The sequence below is a fragment of the Homo sapiens genome, chromosome 5 (assembly GCF_000001405.40).
Source record: "Homo sapiens chromosome 5, GRCh38.p14 Primary Assembly".
In the NCBI taxonomy this organism is placed as follows: Eukaryota; Metazoa; Chordata; class Mammalia; order Primates; family Hominidae; genus Homo; species Homo sapiens.
In genome coordinates, this window is record NC_000005.10 from 108,179,453 (window position 1) to 108,205,313 (window position 25,861).

At 36.3% G+C, this 25,861-nt stretch overlaps 1 protein-coding gene across 7 annotated transcripts in view; it reads right to left on the reverse strand.

Annotated features, from left to right (window-relative positions):
* The window catches only part of FBXL17 (F-box and leucine rich repeat protein 17), a 523,064-nt gene that overhangs the window by 320,418 nt on the left and 176,785 nt on the right, over nt 1–25,861 (reverse strand). For 6 of the 7 annotated variants that reach the window (NM_001163315.3, XM_005272048.5, XM_011543574.4 and 3 more), the window contains exon 6: nt 6,665–6,795. In NM_001163315.3, coding sequence (NP_001156787.2) covers nt 6,665–6,795 — 131 coding nt within the window. Of the gene's footprint in view, nt 1–1,555; nt 5,613–6,664; nt 6,796–25,861 lie in introns of those variants that run through there. The other variant, XM_011543576.4, reaches the window with a different exon arrangement.

Below are 25,861 nucleotides of genomic sequence, written 5' to 3' on the forward strand. Positions count from 1 at the left end.
AAAAGAGACAGAGAGAATAGTATTAAGATTTTTTCTTAATATTGAAAACAAAGGAATCATGAACCAAACACTAAACATTGCCAATGAATTCATTTTAAAATAAGCAACTTCAAATTATAGGTGTGGAGTTTGAGGGACTTTAATAAACTAGTCCAACCCTCCTTATAATTCAGGAAACTCCTTTACAGCACTCTGTTTGAACACTAACAAAGAGTGCATTCTCTATTTTGGAAGGCAGACAATGAAAATCAAGGTTTTAACTTATTTTAAGCTGCATTCTGTCTCCGTCTATAACTTCCACCTGTTGACTAACATGCCAGTGCCTGAAATAGTAAATAACTAATTTAGGTAGACTAATGAACTATTATTTTTTAATATATTTTACCAGACTCAATTTAAAAAGAACCATATGATTTAAATATGAAATATCTAAAATTCTCTGCATCTCAATTTTAAGGAAGGATAATTCAGTTTGGTGGGAAGAGTGGATAAATGGAAAGGGGGCCAAAGAGAACAGTCCATTCATCATCCTGGAAAGAATGTTGACGTAAGAAAATGCGGGCCTAGTATTCTTGGGTCCACAACTTTTCCAAAAGCCTGAATTCAGAATATTTATGTGAACTATACCAATTTTTAAAGTGCTGGCAACTAATTCAAAATTTTTAAATACTGTATATGCCAAACAAAACAGCTTTGTGGACTAGACTCAGCTGTGGCCCAGAAGTTTGCAACTTCAAATGGTCTTATTTAAAAGTTACTTTTAAAGAGAAATATCTGGTTGGGGGCAGTGGTTCACACCTGTAACCCCAGCACTTTGGGGTGCCAAGGTAGGCAGATAACTTGAGGTCAGGAGTTCTAGACCAGCCTGGCCAACATGGTGAAACCCCGTCTCTACTAAAAACACAAAAATTAGCCCCACATGGTGGGGCTGTAAACCCAGCTACTTGGGAGGCTGAGGCAGGAGAATCACTTGAGCCCGGGAAGCAGAGGTTGCAGTGGTCTGAGATTGTGCCACTGCACTCCAGCCTGGGCAACAGAGCATGACTCCGTCTTTAAAAAAAAAAAGAAAAGAGAAATATCTATAGGTACTATTTTAACCTCTAGTACATAAAAAATAAAATAGCAATATTTTGTAGATCTTATTTTTTACTTGAAAGAAACTGGATAACAGTCTAAGATTTAAAATTCTCCAAATTTTAGAGTGTGCACTGATGCAATAGCTTCCCTTACATAAATACAAGATTCACACAGCAAATCATGGCAATATAATTGATATTGACAACAACCCTGGCCTTTGTTATGCTTTGTGACTTTAGCTACCGGATGTTAGATAATCTTATTTATCTTGTATTATTTTTCTATATTGTTCTCCTAATTCATGAGCATGCATGGTCAACTGTCAAAGAAAGGCTCATATATTTGATAATCCCCATTATCAAATATATGATTTGATACATCATAGGATTAAATAAACTAAGTTCATTTTCAGGACCAATATTAAAAATTGAAATGGAGAGATTACCTTTGATAGTTTAAAAACTGAAAACAGCTTTTGTAAAGATCTATTAAAATCAATTAGATTTTATTTAATTCTTATTAACAAAAAAAGAATAAAAGAACCATTATAAGTATATTGCTATAACAATGCTCAGACCAGTTTTTTACACATCAGCTGTTACACCCAAAACATGCTGCTTCTGGACTCCGCGTCAAACATATAAAAATGTTGTAGACCAAATTGGATGTGAAATAATAAAGACTGATATAAATACAAAAAAATTTCAATAAACTTAGAATCAGGGAGTGGATGAGACGTAATAACCAGATGTTTAATTTAAATCACTGATAGAAATAGTCAGTGTCCTCTTTTCATAAAACACTTGGATGTTATTTGTATTCAAAAGCAATGGTAAATGTCAAATGACTACTAGATCATCCTTCTGAATACAAGAAAATATCATGCTGTTTAACTCTCTAAACACAAAAAGTGCTTTTGGAAAAACAAAGATAAAGAGCAGCATGTCTTAGTCACAGAGATCAATTCAAGGACCAGAAAATGCTAACAGACACCATAAAGTATAACAGTAAAGTCTTTCAATTACTACATATTTTACAATTTTGAACTTAAAAAGTTCACAGATAAGAATTATTAAAACCTACGATAAATGTTATATATAAAGGACTGTGACAAGTACTGAAATTTATCTTAATGTGAGAAATCCTTTATTAAAACTAGCAACATTCAGGATAAATCTTTGTAATAGGTATTGTATATAAATTAATATCTAAAAGTTCCATTATACTTTCAATATGAGAGAAAATAATGAGCTTAGTTAAAAAATTAAGAATTTTATATATAAATGTCAATCGTATGTGAATCCCAGCTATGACGCGGAAAATTGACTGATTAGCCATTCACTTTTTCTTGTTTAGAGTTTTTACTGCAATGATGATGGAAAAATACATCCACTGAAAAGCCAAAGAAAGTCAAAGAAATGGTCTAAATTTAATAGAAATAGTATGACCTTCCCCTGAACAAAAGACGTTGAAGAGATTAAATGAGAACACGTGTAAAGTGCCTATCAATTACCTGAGTAATAAAGGTTACTTTCGTCCCCTCGATCCTTACAAGGCTCACTATTATCATTAAGTCTTATGTCACCTAAAGAGAGTGACCTTTGAGAACAGCAGGAACTCAGTGCCCCACAGTCTGAGACACGGTAGCAAGTATTTAGTAGGGGGCTAATAAATGCTTTCTGATTTACTGGAGGATAATAATAATGAACGAATGTAAAACAGAATTAATTGATAGGCTAAACGCATTAGTGCATTCCAGTGCCCTCTATATGGAAGGTTACTAACCCATCTCAGCTAAGTGCTGAAATTATAATTAAGTCTGATGGGAAGTTCTAGATTTATACCAATATAACTACAAATATTACTTAGCTTAGTAATATGGCATGGCAAGAACAATGAGATGAGTAATTTAGATGATACTGCAAAGTGGGTTTTAATGTTTGAAACTTCTATTACAGTATACAGGATAAGTGCAAGTAGTGTAATTAAAACCTAAAAGAGCTTGATCTTTAAAACTCTATTGCTCAACCTCATTAAAATGCATGTTTTCTTAATTAATCCAAACTTTTCCATTAAAAACATAAAAATACACTTTCATTTCTTGCAAATAAATCTCTACAATACATATATTTAGGATCAAACACCAAATAACCATTAGTTAAGTAGGAAAAAAATGACTGAAATAGCACAAGGTTTGAGTACATGAAGCCTAACAAAGGGAAGGAAAGGCAAAGTGAGAGCTCTCGACATTTTCATTTGTAAATTACCCAGCTACAACAAAATAAGCATTTAAAGAACTAGAAGATTAGAAATCCACTCTCCCATCTGTATTTAAATGATACAAACCTAAGCAAAATATTTACTTAGATAACTCATACAACGAAGTATAGACCGTATCTTATTTATCAATTATAGTATCTCCCATTAAATGACTCTTCTACACATGTCCTGTATACAGAAAATTGTTGTGGAATATAATCACCTTATTGCAGAAACAGTTTTCTATTTTTTTTTTTTTTTTTTTTTTTGAGACAGAGTTTCGCTCTTGTCGCCCAGGCTGGAGTACAATGGTGTGATCTTGGCTCACTGCAACCTCTGCCTCCCAGGTTCAAGTGATTCTCCTTCCTCAGCCTCCAGAGTAGCCGGGATTACAGGCATGTGCCACCATGCCCAGCTAATTTTTGTATTTTTAGTAAAGACGGGGTTTCACCATGTTAGCCAGGATGGTCTCAATCTCTTGACCTTGTGATCTGCCCGCCTCAGCCTCCCAAAGTGCTAGGCTTACAGGCGTGAGCCACCACGCCTGGCCCAGTTTTCTACTTTTAATTCAATGCATTACCAAGAAATTTACTGTAATATATTAAACTAATGTTAGATATTTAAAACCACAAGATAGTATTTATGTACTTCATTATTTGTTATGAATAGCTTTTTAAAGATTACTTTAAATTTTCTATATAGGATGTTGATTATAGAGAAGAATTTTACTTTGTAAACTTTGTTTTCAGGAAAGTTAATTTATTTGAATTTTCTTTTTCTTAAATGTTTCAATTTCAGTAACTTTAGGGGCACAAGTAGTTTTGGTTACATGGATGAATTCTACAGTGGTGAGGTATAGGATTTTGGTGCGCCCATCCCCTGAATAGTGCACATTGTACCCCATAGGCAGTTTTTATCCCTCGCCCCCTCCGAGCCTCCTCACTTGGAGTTCCCATGTCCATTATACCACTCTATATGCCATTGCGCACCAGTAGTTCAACGCCCACTCGTAAGTGAGACATATGGTATTTGGTTTTTGATTCCTGAGTTACTTCACTTAGAATAATGACCTCCAGTTCCATTTTCTTTAGATATTGATATATTTCATATGGTGAATATTATTCAAAAACAAGAGAGAATTTTTATAAATGGTGATCACATACCCATTCTAGAGGAGTACATTTTTCAAGAAAAATTTTACTAAGAAAGAGTGAAGTCAAGGCTATCACATAAAGAGTAATTCAGGGTAATTTAAGAAAATGTCACTAGAATTTACCAAAATTGGGGAAAATGGAGTCTACATGGTTTTATTTTAAGGTATAAAAGGAAATTTAAAAAGGGGAGGCCAGGCACGGTGGCTTATGGCTCATGCCTATAATCCCAGCACTTTGGGAGATCGAGGCGGCGGGGCGGGGGATCACTTAAGGCCAGTAGTTTGACACCAGCCTGGCCAACAGAAACGCCATCTCTACTAAAAATACAAAACTTAGTCGGATGTGGTGGTACACACTTGTTTTTTCGTTTTTTTGTTTTTTTGAGACGAGGTCTTGCTCTATCACCCAGGCTGGAGTGTAGTGGTGTGATCTCGGCTCACTGCAAACTCTGCCTCCCGGGTTCACGCCATTCTCCTGCCTCAGCCTCCCAAGTAGCTGGGACTACAGGCACCTGCCACAAGGCCTGGCTAATTTTTTTGTATTTTTAGTAGAGATGGGGTTTCACCATGTTAGCCAGGATGGTCTGGATCTCCTGACCTCGTGATCCGCCCGCCTTGGCCTCCCAAAGTGCTGGGATTACAAGTGTGAGCCACCGTGCCCAGCCAGTGGTGCACACTTGTAATCCCAGTTACTAGGGTGGCTAAGGCAAGAGAATCCCTTGAACCCAGGAGGTGGAGGCTGAAGTGAGCAGAGATCATGCCACTGACTGCACTCCAGCCCGGGTGCCAAAGCAAGACTCGGTCTCAAAAAAAAAAAAAAAAAAAAAGAGGGAAAATATCTTAAATTTAAAGCATTATCTGACACAAATTATTTCTCCTATTTTTAAAAGAATATTTAAATCTAAACAGGTTCTAATTTTAGCTGAAATAGTGCTTTCTATTTTGAAAGGAAAATATTTTTGGAAACTTATCTTTTAAAACAAAATTCTTGGAAACTTACTGGGCAAGAATCCTCTCATGCTCATATTTACAAATCTACCTAATCAGTAGTGCTAGCGCTACTCTGTTGTTTTCATTATAATAGTCTACTTTTAAGGGTTTTCCTGTATTTTTTTCTTCCTTCCTGCAATATTTCAAAGAAAAATGGGTTAATCATTATTCGTAAGAAAAAACTTCTGATTCTATACTGTATATTAAGCTATTCATCACGTGACTTCCATTTCTGAAACAAATTACATATATATATACTGAGAAAAAAATGTCATCCTTAGGTGCTGATATGGTTTGGATTTGTGTTCCCAGCCAAATCTCATGTCAAATTGTAATCCCAATGTTGGAGGAAGGGCCTGTTTGGAGGTGATTGGATCATGGGGGCAGATTTACCCCTTGCTGTTCTCCTGATAATGAGTTCGCACAAGAACTGGATGTCTAAAAATGTGTAGTACCTCCCACTTCACTCTTTTCCTTCCTTCTCTAGCCATGTAAGAGGTATCTGCTTTTTGCCATGCTTGTCAGTTTCCTGAGGCTTCTCCAGCCATACTTCCTGTACAGCCTGCAGAACTGTGAATTAAACCTCTTGTCTTTATAAATTACCCAGTCTAAGGTAGTTCTTTATGGTAATGCTAGAATGGGCTAATATAGGCGCAGTGGTGTATGCCTGTAGTCCCAGCTGCTTGGGAGGCTGAGGCAGAAGTATTGCTTGAGCCCAGGAATTGTACCTAGGAAACACTGTGAGACTCCATCTCTGAAAAAAAAATGTCACCTTTAAGAAAGGGTTTAAATGTTAATGTTTCAGATGGTTTCTCCAAATCATTAAAATCAACCACAAATGTTGCAAAAATGTTAAAGTGACAAATAATATATCATTACAAACTTACAAGCATGGCAAAAAGCAGGTATGTCTTAGATGGATAACAAAGAAAAAATTCAACAGCCTACTATTGTTACAATTGTTGAGGCAAATATTTGTATTAAAGCACCTAAAAACTTTGCTGCACTTATAAGCAACAGATGCATTAAAAGTATAGATCTAGATGGTTTTCAAAACTTAAACATAACAATTTGAAAAGGCACAGCTGTATTCAATTTTAGTTATAGACATGCCTTGTTATAATAATTAATATTTCCTAAATGTTTTCCTCTAGAAAAGTATTTTTAACATGTTACAATGGTTACCTGTCATTTATGATCCAGTTCAGACAGAGATTGAGAGAGCTAAGATTTTTGCACCTCTTGACAATTTCCATCACGGTTTCATTATCCAGTTCAGTGATATGACGTAGGTCCAAGCTGGAAAGGTTTCTTAGCTAATGAGATAAATAAAATGAAAGATGAAAAAGGTAAATGCTACATTCACTCTCAAAACTTACAAATGTAGTTTATTACAAGGTAGAGTATCACTGTAAAATATTTAAAACAGATAGGCTAGAATCTTTTAATTAAAGATATTGTATATGTAATATTTTATACACTAAATTAAGCATGAGTGTAGTATAGAAATCTATGGTGAATATCTGAATGGCAACAAACATTAAAAGAAAGTAGATTTGGCCAGGCGCGGTGGCTCACATCTGTAATCCCAGCACTTTGGGAAGCTGAGGCGGGTGGATCACGAGGTAAGGAGATCAAGACCATCTTGGCCAACATGGTGAAACCCCATCTCTACTAAAATACAAAAAATTAGCTGGGCGTAGTGGTGCATCCCTGTAATCCCAGCTACTTGGGAGGCTGAGGCAGGGGAATTCTTGAACCCGGGAGGCAGAGGTTGCAGTGAGCCCAGATCGCATCACTGCACTCCAGCCTGGCAACAGAGTGAGACTGCGTATCAAAAAAAGAAAAAAAAAAAAAAGAAAGTAGATTTTACTTAAGTATCCTAAAAATCAAGTTAGCAATCTATTGTCTAATAGGTAGGCAAGGTATTGAATATATTACATTAAGTACCTACAATTTGAGAAGATTATTCTAACATTGTTCAATTTCAGATATTACCTTCATAATTATGCCATTTCTGTATAGATTTTTTTATTTTTTTAAAGATGAAATATGACTAAATGGTTAATTCAGAGATAGCTTGGTGATATATTATCAATGTACTCCAAACTGTACTATTATGGGTATGTGTTTCATCATAAAATGATATAAAATGTGGCTTAAGAAGCAAAAATTTCTCCAGGTTCCACCTTCTCCATGTTTTCATTTTCTATTTCTTTAAGTTTCTTGTCTTCCGCTGATGTTTAGCCTCTAAAGCAAATTAATGATAATATTTACATAAAGGTGGTAGGATCTTAATTATCCTCTTCAAATAAGCTACCTTTTCAAATATTAAGCTATTTTTGCTTAATAATATGCAAAACTTAATCTGGAGGCATATGATAGACCAAATAACACAAATACCCCTCCCACCAAAGATACCTATGCTCTAATATGTTACCTTATAAGGCAAAGGGGATTTTGCAGATGTGATTAAAGGTATGGATCTCAAGATGGGGAGATTATCCCAGGTTATCTGAGTAGTCCCAGTGTAATCACTGGAGACCCTTATAAGCACAGGCTTACTCAGAGAAAGCCAGAGAGATGAAATGGAAGATAACAGGAGATGTTTCAATCATGAAAGGGATTCAAGCTACCTTTACTAGCTTCAAATATTGAGGAAGGGGCCAGGAGTCAAGGAACATGGGCAGCTTTAGAGTTGGAAACAGCCCTCAGCTGCCAGCCGGGAAGAGATAAGGACCTCAGACTTACAACCTTAAGGAATTTAATTCTGCCAAAAAACCTGTAGGAGTGAGCAAGAAAACAGATGCTCCCTTCAGAAACACAATCCAGCTGACACCTTGAATTTAGCCTGGTGAGACCTGTGTCAGACAGGCTTCTAACTTACAGAATAGTGAAATAATAAACTGGTACTGTTTTAAGTTGCTAAGCATGTGAGAATTTAAGTCAGTTCAGCTTAAACTCCAAGAGAAGACTAGACACTTGAATCTCCAATGAAAATGTTCTATATTTCTGCTGTCTGATATAGTAATCACTAATCACTTGTACCTACTGAGCACCTAAAATGTGACCAGTGTGACAGGGGACCTGAACTTTTAATTTTATTTAATTTTAATTAATTTGTATTTAATTTTTATATCTGCATGTGGCTAACAGCTACAGTGTTGGTGGACAGGACAGCTCAAAAGAATGGTCATTGGGAGGGTAGGAGGTAAATTGCCAGGCAGTACTCACACTCTTTCCACCTCAGCTCCCAATGGGAGAAGCTATACAGAGAGAGTTCATAGAGTCACTACTCAATGCTCTCTGAAGCATGCTGCCCAACTATGGAGATAAATAGAGATAGCTGCGACAGATAAAACACAAAAAGGTCCACAACAGCAGGTAAATTCTTTCTAACTGAGACAGAAAGTGTATGTACCAGCTTCTTCTAAGGGCTAGGTTGTAGGCATTAGTAAAGGCAGAGCTTCAGGAAAAGCTCTCTGCAATTGGCTTATCAGGTAAGATGTTCAAGGAAGTCACGTCCAGTCTAGTATGGGACTCAGCAAAATGATGCTCCAGAACAGAGGCAGGTCAAGCAAAGAAATGGGTTCTTACAAAGTTCCTATTCAATAACCACAGGTTAAGGGTTTTAGCAACATCAGAACATAACTGGTACTTGGCAACCAAAGCACACAGGAACGGACTCATTCTTGTTAAAACAGACCTTTCTGGCTGTCTCAGCAGCTTCAGGCAACTGACCAGTCAGAACCTTGGTCAACTCCCTCAGTTTCCCCTTCCTCAAGGTTCACCTTACTGAAATAATTATAATCAATACTAAGCCCAGGGCTCAAAGGTGAGCTGTTTGGGCTCTAAAGTTCTGCTGCAAACATAGCGCCTGTTTCCTATATCTTACCTCTCATTGTAGCTTTTTTTTTAAGTATCTAAAGGTACATAAAAAAGACAGACAAATAAAATACAAAATAAATAGCAAATAAGTTTCTATAACTTTTCTGACCTCACTAGAATTCACCTAAGGGAACAAAGGGCTGATATGAACGCTCTTTGCTGTGCTTTCTTCCTTTCCAATATGTGATCTGCATGTGGTGGGCACAGAAATTGAAATCACCCACAGTCATGGCTGGGCTTGGAGCAAAATGGAAGGCCAACATCTTTTATGAACAGGAGACACCAGAAGGATAGATGGCTATGTACATTTATCAACTCACTAGTTCTGTGGGTCAGGAGACCAGACATGGCTTAGCTGTGTCCTCTGCCTAGGGTTTCGCAAGGCAATCAAGATCTCAACTGGGGCTGTATTTCTTTCTAGAGCTGAAGTTCTCTTACAAGCTCATGTAGTTGCTGGAAGAATTCATAGGATGGGATGGGATGGGATGGGATGGGATGGGATGGGATGGGATGGGATGGGATGGGATGGCAATAAAATGAAAGAGACAATGGTAAGAAAAAAAGCACAAGTCTCAGACTCAGTGTTTTTTTGTTGTTATTTTTCATGAGAGGACGGAAAATAATAGTCTGAAAGCAGCTATGCAGAGCAAAGAGGATCTTTGCCCCCACCTCCTGACCCTGAGAGAAACACAGTGAGAAAATAAACAGGTATGGTAGGCAAAATTCTAAGATGATCCCAATGGCCTATGCTCTATCATAATCCCTGCCCCCTTGAGTGTGGACAGGACCCACGATTAGGATGGAAATTCTCCTTACACAGCAAAGAGATTTAGCAGCTATAATTATGGTTCCTGATTAGTTGACACTGAATGAATCAAAAGGGAAAGTATCCTAGGTGGGCCTGACATAATCAGTTAAGCCCTTACAAAGGATCTAGAGGTCTGAGAAATTATCCTGCTTGGTCCTGAAGAACTAAGCAACTGTGCTGTGAAAAAGACTATGAGAGCCTTCTGGGGATTGGCCACTGGCTGAGGGCCAGCAAGAAAATAAGGGTGTTAGTTCTACAACCACGAGGAACTGAATTCTTCAAGCCACTACATGAGCTTGTAAGAAGACTTGAGCTTTAGAAAGAAATACAGCCCCAGTTGAGATCTTGATTGCCTTGTGAAACCCCAGGCAGAGGACACAGCTAAGCTATGTCTGTCTGGTCTTCTGACCCACAGAACTAGTGAGATGATAAATGTACATTGTTTTAAGCTGCTAAACTTGTAGTAATTTGTTGTGTATCAGTAGAAAACAAATGCAGGAGGGCTGCGGTGACGTTGTATTGCTGAAGAAAAGCCAGGCTTCACTCAAGACAAGGGGAATATCCTTGCCCACTTTAAATGCTGAAGCTCTCTGTCCCTCTTCAGATACTTATGCTCACAAAAGCACAGAGTGAGAGGCTTAGTCCATTCAGTCTTCTCCTCTAGGCTTGTCTTCAGCTTCCAAGAAAATACTTCCTAGAAAACAGTCAGTTTTGATGTGGCCACTCTTGTCAGAAGAAAGAGAAATAGAGAGAGACAGAGAGTCTGAGACAGAGACAGACAGAGATATCTAGAAAGTGGGGAGGTCTTCCTAAATTTCTTAAACCAACCCTTACTCATGGGAAGATGGGTTTAATGGAAACACTTTATGAAAATACTTGCACAGCTTCTGGCTTTTACTCAATTCATACTTGTCAATAGTCACATGCTTCCATATATATCTTAACACAGGTTAACTGTCTTTTTATGTTCCCTAAAGTTTTATTTTTCACAAGATTTTGCATTAGGGCTAGATAGGTGGATAAAATGGTTTCACTGGTCAAGTTCTCTTGTTTTTGATTGAGCAAAGATGAATTTGTATGTGTCAAGGATCTGAGTCACTCTTAAATTTGATAATCCTCATATTACTGTCCCCCACACTTCTATTTTCTACCTAAAAATCACCATTTTTTTAAACCACATTGTCTTTACAGCTAGCTTTCTTTATAGGGCGTTTTTGATCTCCACACCCAAAAAGTTTTTATCACTGTTGGAAATATACTGTTCTGTAACATGTAAAAAGAACCAGACAGCCCTTGAGAACTGCAGATGCTGGGCAGCTTTCTGGGCTCATGTGCTGACAGCAGCCCCATGTTGGTATCACAGGAAAATAAGAAATAAACTACATTAAATGGACCCATAGGGCTGCCTGTAAATACTTTGACATATGACTCTTAAACCTATAAACATTAAGGATTAATTTTGCTACTTGTAGCTATATGCATATGTGAACTACTGAATAGAACCATGCAAAATACACATATAGCATGACTTTATTTTCCCAATTTATCCTTTACCATAGTTTCTAGGAAGATTCGAAGTCACAAAAATTTTATCCAGCTACATAAATATCTCCTACACATGCATATTTGGGGTTCTAGCACAGCTTCTGACACAGAGTTTCTATGTGAATTCTTACCCATCTCTTGCCTTCCTTCATTGTAATGTTATCTCTCCATCACAACAGTTTAAATGTACTTAATGCCACTAAACTGTACATTTTACATGGTTAAAATAGCACATTCTATGTTATGTACATTTTACCACAATAAAAATATCACATATCAACAAGAAGATGGTGAGAGCATATAATAAAAATTGTGTAGAGAAGAAAATATAAAGCTGCTTGTGCCAGTTCAGTCCTTCATCATAGGAAAGATAACTGAGTGTCAACAAGGCTGGGATAACTTATCAAATTGCAGATACTTGATAGAGAGATGTTGGCAAATCTGAGCTATTTTATAGACTTGTGAAAATCCAAAAATATCTAAAATTTGAGTTCTATTTGACTCTTGAACTTTTAGAAAGCTTGCATCCAGGCCTACTCCTCACAATAAGGTAGACTAGATGACGGATGACACTGGGATACTTGTGACTCTTACTGCCTGTATGTACTGTCCATAAATAAAACATTTCTCACTCTTCCAGTGGAGCACAAATGTATACATGAAGAAACAGGTTTACTTGAGCTCTTATGCTCCAGGCTTCTACAGCAACCTTAAAGAGTATTTTACTTTTCTTTTTTCATGAGCTGACAGTCACTGCATTCACATGGCCTTCCCTATAACCACTTTGGCCAACTCAACTTGAAATATGACAGTATCCAAAGGCAGTTCCAAGAGACGAATCCCCAGTAACCAGCATCATTACAAGACACAAAACTAGCACTTCTAAGAGATGTGGCATTTTTATTCAAAACTGCACAAACAGTTCTGTCAAATTCATCACATTCCTTCCTTCACTATGGGAATTTCATAATGGTGCCCCCAGTGTTTCATAAAAAGCTACATAAAATAATCCTTCATAGTCTCAAACAGATAATTACATTTAGGAAACTGACATTTTAATTAAACTTACTTTCCTTATAATTCACTGGTAGTTGTGAGTTTTAAAAATCACAGAGGATTTGAATAAGCAAAGCCTTACAATCAAGATCTAAATGTTTCACTCCAATTTTTAAATATTTAGTAAGGTATTTTAACAGAAACCCAAGTCAGAATGTAGAATGTAGGTAATCATCTTTCAGTTTAATACTGCTTTTATTAGAAAAAAAGTGACATCTAATTAATTCATGTTAAAGACTAAAATTAGTCAATGATTGGTATGGCCATGTATGTACTTAAATATAAAATGAGACACTAAAATGTTACCTAGGAAACATAAGCTTGGTGGATTATCGAAAGACCTCAAATGGGTCAGGAGTTCGAGACCAGCCTGACCAACGTGGTGAAACCCTGTCTCTACTAAAAATACAAAAATTAGCCAGGCATGGTCAGGCGTACCTGTAATCCCAGCTACTCAGGAGGCAGAGGCAGGTGAATCGCTTGAACCCAGGAGGCAGAGGTTGCAGTGAGCCGAGATCGCACCACTGCACTCCAGCCTGGGTGACAGAGCGAGATGAAAGCAAGAAAAGAAAGAAAGAAAAGAAAAGATCAGACCAGACCTCAAATGGCTTCCAAATTTTCTTAAGACCCTACAAAAGTTAAAAATGAAACAAAACCCTCAATTGTAAAGACTGACTGAAGTGGATGAATTAACGAAAGAGGACTCACATTACCTTAGCAAAGGCAGCATGGATGTTCTATCACTTCAGGACTCTGAGGATAATTTAAGTGACACAAGTTGGAAGTGTTAATTTTTAAAAATAATGAAAACTTCTATATAGTTAAATATGTTCAAATGTCAATTAGTACCTAAATTAGTTCTTGCCAGTACTGCACATATTGACTTTATTGGACCAGGTTTCTAAGTAATTGTAATGTTTAGGGAGCAAAGTCAAGGGTTAAGACAGGCTGCCTTGCTGATGAAGGGGTTGCTGGGCATAGATTAGCACGACACACTAATCCGCCAAACAGCTGTCAGGCTGTCAAGATGGAGACCAAGGGAGATCCTAAAGGCAGAGGAAGAGAGAAGGGTCAGAGAAAGGCAGTTATAAGAAAACTGGGAAGAGCTTCCTATTAAAGACAGGGAGAGTGACTCAAGGAGAAAGGGAAAGGGGTGGTAGCAATAGATCTTGAAGTATAAAAGTAGAAAAAAAGTAAAGAAACTAAGACTGCTGGGAATGAAAAGAAAAGGGGCAGGGAGAATTTCTGTTCCCAAGCCTAGAAAGACTTCCATCCTTGAGAAGGTCTGTTATCTACACTTAGAGAAGGACTTGGTTGGACAAGGGAGGGAACAAGGGGTATGACTAACTAGGCTGGAATCTCAGCTAGGGTATTAAAATGTAATAAAAATCTAAATAAGCCACATTCATTTTGGACATCAGGCAAATCCTTCCCAGCATCTGAGGGTAGAACTGAAAGGCTCTAAATAGCCTTAAAGCTTCACAGAGACAACAGCAATTGCTAGTACTATGAAAATAGGACTTACAGGGTCTTGGAATTAATAGTAGCTATGATCTTAATTCTCAGGCACCTTCTCTATGTATTCTCTTTCACCCACTGCCTTCTTAATCACACTGGGCTTTTGTCTCTTTGCATTATTTTCAAATCCAAGGTGTGGTTTTGCCATTCTCCTACTAGATCTGACATTATTCTCCATTTTATTCATTCTGTTTTGCTTTCTAGGACATTTTACGGCCCGCTTCTCCTCAAAGCTGTCCCTTCTAACTCCTTTTTGCCACATCACTAGCCAGATTAATCTTCTTGAAACAACTTTGATCAAATCTCCCACCTTCTCCAAAGCCTTTAGGGAACAAAAATATTTCTGCTGCAAAAAGGAATCCCAGAGCTTCCCTATCAAGGCCCTCCATTGTCCATCCCTACCATTCCCTGAAATCTGTTAAGCCAACTGGGATCTCTTTCCCCAGATTTTGAGAAGTTGTTCTCACTACGCTCGGTGAACTGTGCTTATTATTTTAAAACTGCTCTCACTTCACTTATGTTATTCTGATAACTTAGAAGTATCTGTTCTCCTCTCCCTTCCTCTTATTCCACTACCTGGTTCAAATCTCATCTTCTCCACAAAGTCTTTTTGATTAATATAGAGAGGAAAAAAAAAAGTCTTCGAAATATACTTGCCTTAATGCAAATTATTAACTAGGCAGTTCCCAACATATCTATGCTCTTTAAATGGGGAATCATTAATTGGCAACAGCCGCCAAGGAACCAGGTAACAATCTTTCCTTCCTGCTACAACTACTTAGGAATGCCCTCTTTGACTTCTCCATCTCTTCACCCTCCCTTCCCTGATCGCTTCCTTCTCCCCTTCTAGCCTTTCCTAGACTGTGCTGCTCAGGATCAATCTCTCATCACAAACATCTGAAATCTAATCTTAATGCTTGGCCTAATCTGAGTCTCTGAGGTAGCAGTTGTGGTGACTCTTGATTCATTCATTCACATTCATTTAAATGTTTCCTGAGCACCTGGCTCTAACCTTGGCTCCAAGTTAGGATAACCAGCGAACATAAAAAAGAAGATTGACGGCCAGGCCCCATACTTAGAGATTTTGATTTAATTGTCTTGGAACAGGGCGAGCCTTCAGTATTTCTGAAAAAGATACCCAGTTGATCTCAACCTGGACTGGTAACCACTGCTCTGGTGCAGCATAATTGATTTTTAAAAATCCAGTTACTGAAAGTACAAAAATAATTTGTAAAGCTTAGTCTCTTTAATCACTTAAAAAATGCAAAAAGTATTATTCATGTAGTCAATAACTATTGATTAAGCAGCTATTGTGTACCAGGAACTTCTCCAGCTGATAAAAATACAGCAGAGAACAAAAAAGCAAAAATCTCAGTCCATAGAATGGTTATATTCCTAGCTAGGGGGTTGGAGGGGGCAATAAATAAAATAAATAAACAAATATGTTAAAAGGTGTTAAGTACTATAGAGAAAAATAAAGCAAGACAAGCTGGATGGAAAAGAGAGGGAGGGAAGATGGGTGTAATTTTAAACAGGCAGTCAAGGATGATCTTACTGAAAAGATGATATTTGCGCAAAGATTTAAAGGAAATGAAGGAGCAAACAAAGCCAGGCTGATATCTGGGGCAAGAGTTAGGACAGTGCAAAGGCCCTGAGATGGAAACTGTCCCAGCACTTTGGAAGATGAGTAAGGTGCTGCAGCAGAGTGAATGGAATGAAGACTAGCAGGAGACATGGTCAAAGAGGAGATCTAAGAAGGACAGATCACATAGGGTCTTGTGGGTCCTGTAAGGATTTTAGCTTTTGCTCTGAGAAATTTGGGGAACCTCTGGAGGATTTTGAACAGGAGTGTACTATGTTCTAATTTAGTTTTGAAATGATCACCCAAGCTTCTGTGTTGAATTCAGAACATAGATCCAAGGGTGGAAGCAGACAGAAGCTATATTGAATTAATCCAGTCAAGAGTTATCAGTGACTTGGACCACTGTGACAGCAGTTGGAGGTGGTATGAAGTGATTTTGGCTATACAGTATTTGAAAGTAGAATCAACAGAATTTTTTGACAAATATCTTATGGGGCACGAGAGAAAAAGAGGAGTCAAGGACCATTCCAAGAGTTTTGGTTTGAGCAATCAGAAAATATTGTTGCAACTAACAAAGACAATTTGGGGGCAGGCAGAAAAGATAGTTTTGTTTTGAATATGCTATGCTTGAGATGCCTAGATAACCAAGTAGAGATGTCAAATAAATTTAGGAGCCAGCAGCACATAAATGACATTTACGCCTCTACATTTAATATATAATTGTATTAATTATATATAAATGTGTTAAATTCATTAAGTTAGCTAGGTAGAAAGAGTAGTCTTACAATTTATAGTGAATAAATTCTGAATTAATTGATTGAATTAATGTGCAGGCATACATCTCACAGTAATAAAATAGAACACAAACAGCCTAGCCCAATTCTTTAAAAAACAAAACAAAACAAACAAAAAAAAAACGCTTATAGCAATAGTGTCCCCCAGGCCATGTGAGGCAGTTACAAGGCAGAATTCATTTCCTTAGTCTGTAACAGCATAATTCAGCCTTCTCAGCCCCAGTGTATGTCCTCTGTAAAGCTACCTGGGATGCCAGCATTCAGAGCAGGAGACTCTGCCCTCTGTACACCCACTGATGTTGCTCACTCTTTCACCATGTTGTTAACCAAGCTGCTTTATAATCTGGTCTAATTTAAGCATATGTTCCTTCCACTAGAGTCAAAAGGAAGCTACTGCAGGTCAGGACCATGTCTTACTCACTTTTGTGTCACCAGTGCTTAACACAGTACTAGGTGCATTAAAAACATTTATTAAATGCTTAGAACTGAATGAGTAAATTTGAAATCAGGATCAAAACTTTAGATATGACTTTATTTATTTAAGTTTCCAGAAATCAGTTCTCCATTCTCTTAACTCCATCAAATGCAGGATCTGCAGCTCTGCGGCTACATGCTTTTAAAGTTCTTCTATTTGAACATAAAGTAATATGTAAACATTAAATAATAAAAAACTACTTTCTCATAGCATACAATTAGAGGTCATTTCAGAACAAGAAGCATAATGAGTTCTCTATTTACATATTTGTTCTTAAAATTCAAAACTTTTTTTTAAGAGCCTCTGTAAGTTATCAGTTTGAAGTATGTGGCAGGAATTTTGAGTAGTTCACCAAAATTTTAATCACTGTCTGCTGCTGCAGAAATGTGAATTTGTTAATTGGATTTCTGCTTCTCAATATACCAATTCAGAATGGATGCTCTGCTCCTCCTCTTTCACTCTGGCAGTCACACAGTCTCTAATTGAGTTTTTTTCCTAGGACTTTTCTTTCCACCAAATCTCTTTCTTTCCTCCACATAAGATTTCTAGAGCTCATAACAAACTACAAACAGCACTTAAAGTTAGCAGCGCTAAGCAGCCTTGTCACTTTTTTACCCAGCAGGAGCTAAGAATGAAAATTTCCCTTCAATTAAAAAATAAAATATTCACACTGTTTCACTTAAAGAAGAAAACAAATCAAAGCTTAAGTAAATTAAGGGTAAATTAAGTCAAATGTGAATGCAAGCAAGAAAAGACTGCTTCAACTAATTGGACTGGTTGTATACTTCATTTCCTCATATCAAGTTCAGAGATCTACAAAAAAAAGAGACAGTTCACAAAATTTCGAACCAATTTCAGTCACTTGCACTCATGGATCACACTTCAAAGGGTGAAAAGTTTTGGAAATATATTCCAAATGAAAGTTTTATAATCTTATTTTTTAAAGTAGTGAAATAACTAAAATGCCATTAGCCCAAGACGAAAGCTTACCATATCCAAGCCAAGTGACCTGTACACTGGCCTCTTGATCTTGTACTGTCTATTAAAGCAATACAGTCAAATCATTTCACTCATTATTTCTAAATGTGTTAAGCTGAAAAACAAAGGAATGATAGTAATGATTTTTAACTTAATGAATGTTATGTCATATATTTTTATTTTCTGGCATTCCAAAAATGTTACAGAAATGTTGTATCTACACTCTCAAATAAAATATCTTTTTTTTCCTGGTTTACAGTATGCAACTGGGACTCACCTTCACATGGAAAATCTCATGGCCTTACATTCTCATTTATTGGTCTCAACCCCAAGTTAATAAAAAATGCCTAAACCTTAATTTCAGAAATCAGTTTTTCTATCCCGTGATCAGATACTGTTTCAAAGAGTGGATGAGAAACTTTCGTCTTTTGAGCCAAAAAGCTGTAGTGCACAGGATGATAACCATCAGCTGAGCCACCTGCAATCTTTGGGTCTTCCACACTGTCACAAAAGGATTCTCTAATATGTGGAGAAACACCATGAGGCCCCCGTCAACAGGTCCCTATGGCTTCTCTCTGTAGAAGAGGTTTACTGCATAGACCTAGAACACTCTAAGTCACCTAGGAAGAAACTAAATAACCTAGGCATTCAGCAGCAGCTTTCTCTCCTTCTAATTTTAAGTCGTTTTTATGATAAAAAATTCCAAAATGTATACATAATTCTCCCCCAACCCATGCTCCAAAGTCTGCAAAGAAAGCCACAAGTCTAATATTAATAATCTAAAAATAAATCAGTTGGGTCATCCATACTAGTGAAACAGGAGTCACAGACTCTGGTCCTAAAATAAATAACTATGCAGATTTGAAAAAAATAGTATTTCTTCCACAATCTTCAGCATTGTACTTGATTTCATTTTTCATGGTTATTACCAAAGTGCTCCCAGTCACCTGTCATGGATAGTGAAGGAATGAACACTTTCCAGGTGAGAAAAATCTTAGAAGAGTCAAACATTTTAAAGGGCAAGTAAGGATTCATATTTGAAATCCAGGTCAAGAACTCCCCAAACACTGAATCAGATCACATTTGTTTTACTTAGTTTTACATTGTTCTATAAACAGTTCCAAGAGGCAACAGCATTTGGTCCACCAAGTATTTCAATTTGAAATTAGTAAGTTTTACTTCCTGACTTCTGTAATTATACTCAATGTTATAAGCTGGAAGTGAATGAGCTAAAATTCTAGGTTAATGACTATGCTACAGGGAGTATATCAGTTATCAGTAAGAAATGGTAATCAGAAAGATCTCTCTAAAGTTTTCCTTGATATTAAATAATATGGAATATGAAATTATTAAAGATGATAAAAGTATTTTTGAAATGAGGTGCAAAAATTTATAACTTTGATTTATATAATAAAGCACTACTTTCTGAAACAAAGAAATGTCCAACTGTAAAACTGCTCTCTCAACCAATTTTAACCACCTATGAATTCAAAAGCTTCAGCCAATTGAAATAAAATTAAAAATAACAATATCTAGTATACATCTAAGGTAGGACTTTAAATATCAACTTATCATTTACCTTAATATTGCATACTTTGGGTCACTTATAACTTCTCACACCAATACAAAAACATGACGAAGATTTTTTTAAAACAAATAAACAAGTACAGACAGGATAACATGAATTGTCTTTTAATTGTCAATCAAAACTATCCAAGATACAGCTTCAAATAACTAGTAACCAATAACTCAAATAACTAGTTCACAACAGTTAACTTCTTTAGTCAAATATTTTTCTTTACATTTGCTTCTATAGATTGACATTATAGATTACAGCACTGAGAAAACATTTCAACTCTGTTGTTGCTAGAAGCATGTGTGAAAATGATCTTTCTATAATTAAGCAGCTAGCACTCCAACCTATTCTTGGAATTCATCATGAACTTGTAGCTTTATTAGTCTTAATTGTCATGTAACTGCCTGAGCTTACGTTTCTAGCTACAGCTTTTCTGGATTCAGGATGGCAGTATAGAGTTAGTGGTAGTCTAAGAAAGAGTCAGGTCTAATTTAAATCTTATATTATGTTCAATTCTCTGCTTGTGCTTTGATGCCAATTGTTCCAATATTCTCTTAAAGAAAATAAATATCATTTCTATTGTCTTAAATGTGATTTCATGAAAGAAACGCAGAATGACACAGAAAGGAAGATGTGTTGGTCAAGGTATAATTAGGAAAATAGAAACTACTATAAATATGAAATTACACAAAGGAAATTTCATTAAGGGAATTGGTTATTTTGGTGAAGGAGCAGCTAAGAAGACAAACTGGATATGGTAGCGTAAGCCAGAAACTTAGCAACAGCAGGAAACCACCAGCATCCCAAAGCTGAAGACACTGAAGCTGATCCCTTCAGCATCCCAAAGCTGAAGACACTGAAGCTGATCCCTTCAGCATCCCAAAGCTGAAGACACAAAAGGAAGAGTCAGTGTTACTGGGACCCACAAGCCACAGTCAGCCAACACAAGTTGGAGCTGCAGATCAGTCCAGGGCTGGAACCACGGAGGAGACAGAGGTGTTGCCAGAAATGCTACCTGAGTTAGAGAAGGAGAGAGAGAAAAACATTTATTGTAGCTTCTGCCTCCCTGTGGCATTCCTGTCTCCCACTAAATGCAGCCTGCAAAGTTAAGCCCCCCATAGAATATATATAGAGAAGAGCATGCTTAGAGAGAAGAAAGGTTCTGAGGGGAAGGAGGCCTGGTTCTGAGGGCAAGCAGCATGAAGCAAAAGAAAAGAAGGAGGAAGGGGGGCACAGGTTTCCAGCAATTAAAAGAAACAAAGTCACTCTAACGGGAGTTCTTTATAACAATCCAGAAACAGGAATGATTGCCAGAGTATTCCTGTACTTTGCCTGAGAAACCCACAGTGCTGACCAAGTTTGTTTTCTTCTTTGAGCCAGATGAAAGCTGCTTTCTTAGACACAGGAATATTGTTTCACTGTTAAAGATTCAAGATTGATAGTCAATTGCATGTTCAAAAGGGCCTCTGATAAAACACAATAACCAAGCATTTCCTCTGGTGAATGTAACAGAGAAAGTTCCAGTGGGAAGCTTTTTCTTGAAAAAAAAAAAAAAATTGATGGCCAATCATCCCACTGGGATACAATCAATTGAACAGAAGTCTACAGTGGGGGAAGCAGCTATGCTCCTGAAGGTTTTGTAAATACACTGTGATCAACAGCTTTTGTGTAAATGCCTGTAATACGTCTGGGCTAGAGAGCAAACATGTGAAGAGCTCAATTGCCTTTAGTCAATGTACTCTATTGGACTCTATTACTGGGCAAGTGTGTCTAGAGAAGCGGGATCTCAAAACCAAACTCTAATCCCAAAATTATTAGAGAAAATAATGAGTAATAACATGTAAGCCCAAATTCTGCTAAAATGTTGAGGTTCCAAGCTAAAATTTTACAACACTCTACTGTCTCATAAATAACTAACTTCTAACGATTAATAACAGGGAATTACTATGAAAATGAATTCCCTATATTTAAAGAATGCAACTACAATAAAGACACAACATAATTTATCTTGCTTTCAATATCCAGGAGCCCCTTTAGAATCATGGAGAACACTTTCGTTCATCAGTATAGACTTCACACAACATTAAACAAAATTGCAAAGAAAAAGATAATACATAGATTCTTTGGATTAGCTATGATTAACAACTGGCGCAGTGTGAATGTATGTACTGTGTTGAAGTATGCATGTAAATGAATAAACAATATGTATAGACACAGGTACTTCCCTGTGGCTGATTGTGGTAGACAAGATCTGCCCAGGTGCAGTAAAAATGGTTCTGAAATAAGATAGTTTAATTAATTAAAAATAAAATACAGTTAAGTATTTTATACATGTACAAAGCAATTGCCTATAACTATTAATGTTTTTAATAAATGTTTTAAATTAATGTTTTTAAAATAAATTGGATTATATTTAACTCTGTAATTCTCAATACATGCTTACTTCAAGTTAATAAATGAGATATGCTTATTTTTTTCTCAGTAGTATATTTTCTCATTAAATTAAATCATTAATTTATTCTCATTAAGCTCCAAACCTGGTTTCTCTAATTCGGGCAGTCTGTTCTGCTGATTTAGAAATGGGACCCCTTCCATGTTCAATATCACTCTTTATGTATAAACCACAAGACTAGGGGAAGTAGAGTGACACTGATCCTTAAATAAAATTTCTGCCACAAAACACTGTGAATGAATTTGAAAGTAAAAAAAAAAAAAAAAAAATGAAAGCAACAGCTCATAATCTCTTTCTTGGATAAAGACTGACCTCATGTGTTAGAGACCAGATAAAATAGAGTTGATATCCTTTTTACAAGAGTATTTTCAACAAAAACCACAATTTACAAACAAGTGTGTGATAAACATTCAGAGTGGACTGAGGATAATATAAGCAAAGCAAAATAATATTTAAAATATAAAGCCATGATCCAAGAAAGGCTCTTTCAAAAACAATTGCCAATTCTCTTCATTTTATATTTATATGTTTATGTTAAAGCCTGAAGCAACCATTTTATCAAAAGACAGATGCCACAAAGAAACTTATCGACTCACTTTATTTGTTAGGACTTTTATAAACTGAGTCATTTGAAAGATGAATTCATTTATTTTACTAGTGTGATACTGATACCTATTACCATTGAAGTTGCTGAAATGAAAATGTAGCACAAACAAATACACATTACAACTAGAGTGTAAGTAATAGAGTTATAAAAGAGTACCCTCACTGATCAGGTATTACTGACTAAACAGCATGAAAAAATAAAAGTGGTAAGTTTCTATTGCTTATGTAGATGTTGTCTATACTAATTTATGAAAACATCAAAGTCACTAATTTGGGCAGTAATAATAAGGTAGAAGAGTATATCCCAGTTTCCCCTTAGCCAAGGGAGATGCAATCCAAGACTCCCAGGGGATGCCTGAAACTGAGAATAATACAGAACTCTATCTATACTATATTTTTTCCTATATAGTAACAGGTAGGTAGCATATATAGGATGGATATGCTGGACAAAGACGATTCATAGCCCTGGCAGGAGGGAGTGGGACAGTGCAAGATTTCAACACTACTTAGAACAGCTGCAATTTAACACTTACTAAGTGTTTATGTCTGAAATTTATCATCTAACAGTTTCGGCCTGTGGTTGACTGCAGGTAACTGACACCTGGGAAAATGAAACAGCAGATGGTGGGATCTACTGGATCCCCTTATTCAGTGTATTGCTATAGTACGAGTTTTTTAAATGCTTTTTAAAAAATACTATTTTAGTTACACAGTGCGTTTAACTTAAATAATTAAGCAACCTTTAATGGGTCAGCAGGAAAAGAAAAAAATTATACAACAAAGAGTAAACAAACATAGTTATTAATCTTAACATTCAGCACTGACACTCAGGTAGAAAAAAGGTCATAAAGTTTTTAAGTAAGTTTTATTTTCATAAAATTATTGTATCTTATGTTAATGAAAGAACATAAGTATGTCAGGACTAACAAGTTATGAGGAACTTTCGTACATCATGATGAATATTTTTTAATTAGCTTTTTTTTTTCATTGTTCAACCACTTCTTTAGTTATGTGCCAAGAACTCTTCCTCATGCATCCCTAGAGGCAGGTAGATGGTATTACTATCCTTCTTTTACAGATGAGGAAACTGAGGCAGAGAGATTAGGTGATTTGTCCTAGGTCATACAATCAGTAATCATACAATTAGCTTTGTTGACTGCAATAAATGCGTTGCTGGCCTTGGCAAACTTCTAAGAAAAAAATATCAATTAATGGATCACATCAGGCCTAGATAATCAAAGCTTATATTCTCAACACTTGATTTTTGGCTCAACTCTTAACTGCTAAAAAGCTAAAAAGTAGCAAAAGCATGGTCATCCAAAAAAACCCTTTCATAATACAGTACTCACTAGGTCATATTCATTAGGGAATATTTCAGAGCTGAATGAATTTAAGAACATATTTTTTACATCTCAGAATATCACTCAAGCACCTATAATTAATCAGAAACAAATGAAATGATAACCTATGACAAAGCAGCAATATTACCATTTAAGTAGTAAAACAGTGTGTTCTTTCTGTAGAGTAAGGCAATCTAAACCAATCGATTGTTTGAAAATTTAAAAGGCAAGAAAGTTAATTTTTCATTTCTAGTCTCTGAATAAACAAAAAAAGGAGGATGAAAATTGAGTTAGCTGCATGAATGAACATTCTTTCAGTTACTTATGTTAAATCAACTGAAAAAATCAATTTTGTTTTCCTTTAAAAACATTTAACATTTCCAACCATAAGCACTTTTAAAATATGTGCTTTTCTTGAAGTTCTTTAAATGTGATTATGATACAAGAAAATATCAAAAGTTTTATCTAGCTGTCTGTTACCTTCCTAAGGAACTCTGTTTTTAAAAAACAATATAAAACAAAACTCAACCAAACCCATACGCAACACATCCCAAATACTCGGTTAATGTTTGTAAGCTGTTGATAAATAAATATTATAAATATAAATAAAAATTCTCTACCATCTTAATAGTTATTTAATATAAGGTCTTTTCTTTTTTCTTTTTTCCTTTCAGAGATAGGATCTCGCTGATTGCAGTGGCATGATCATGGCTCACAGTAGCCTCAAATTCCTGGGCTCAAGCAATCCACCCACCTCAAGCCTCCAGAGTAGCTGGGAATACAGGCATACACCACCAAACCCAGCTAATTTTTTGTAGAGATGGGTCTTACTATATTAATAGCCCAGGCTGGTCTTGAACTCCTGGCCTCAAGGAATCCTCTCACCTCAGCATCCCAAAGTACTAGGATTACAGGCATGAGCCAACACACCCACCCTAAAAAAAGGTCTTCTTGACTACTGATTGAAATCATTTGTACTGATTTGATATAAATAAACACACAAGAGATTTGTGACATTATATTGATGAAGTTACAGCATTTCTAAGGCTTGCCTTTGAACTACATGTAAAAATAACTTGCCATTTTTGGCATTTCAGACTCTACAGGTAGCCTATTCAACATATAAAATAATATATGTTAATACATATTATCCTAAGCATTTTCCATGTCATTACGTATTCTTGAAAAGTATAATATTGAATAGTACAATTTTATCATGTTAGACTAACATCAACATTTTTAATTTTTTTACCCCTTAAAAGTTTTTTAATCATTATGGAAATTTTCATATATAAACAAAAGTATTGAGAAGGTATAATAAACCTTCATGTCTTAAAACCTAGCTCGATTATCAATATTTTGCATTTTTTTTTCTTTCAGAAACAGGGTCACATTCTGTTGCCCAAGCTGGAGCACAGTGGTGTGATCGAAACTTACTGCAGACTCTAACTCTTGGGCTCAAAAGATCCCCTCATTTCAGCCTTCCAAGCAGCTAGGACCATAGCATGTGCCACCATGCCCAGCTAATTTCTAATTTTTTTTTTAGAAACAGGGTTTGTTACCCTGTCTCTAAAAGTCACATCCTTTATTATCATACAAGCCATCCTCCCGCTTCAGCATGCCAAGCATCTGAGATTACGGGCACAAAACTACATTGCTGGCCCAATATTTTCACGATTTTTGTTTCCTTTATTGGCCTATGCACTTTTATCTTTTTCTTGTTTTTAGTCCCTTTGTAATATTTTAAACCAAATCCCTAATACT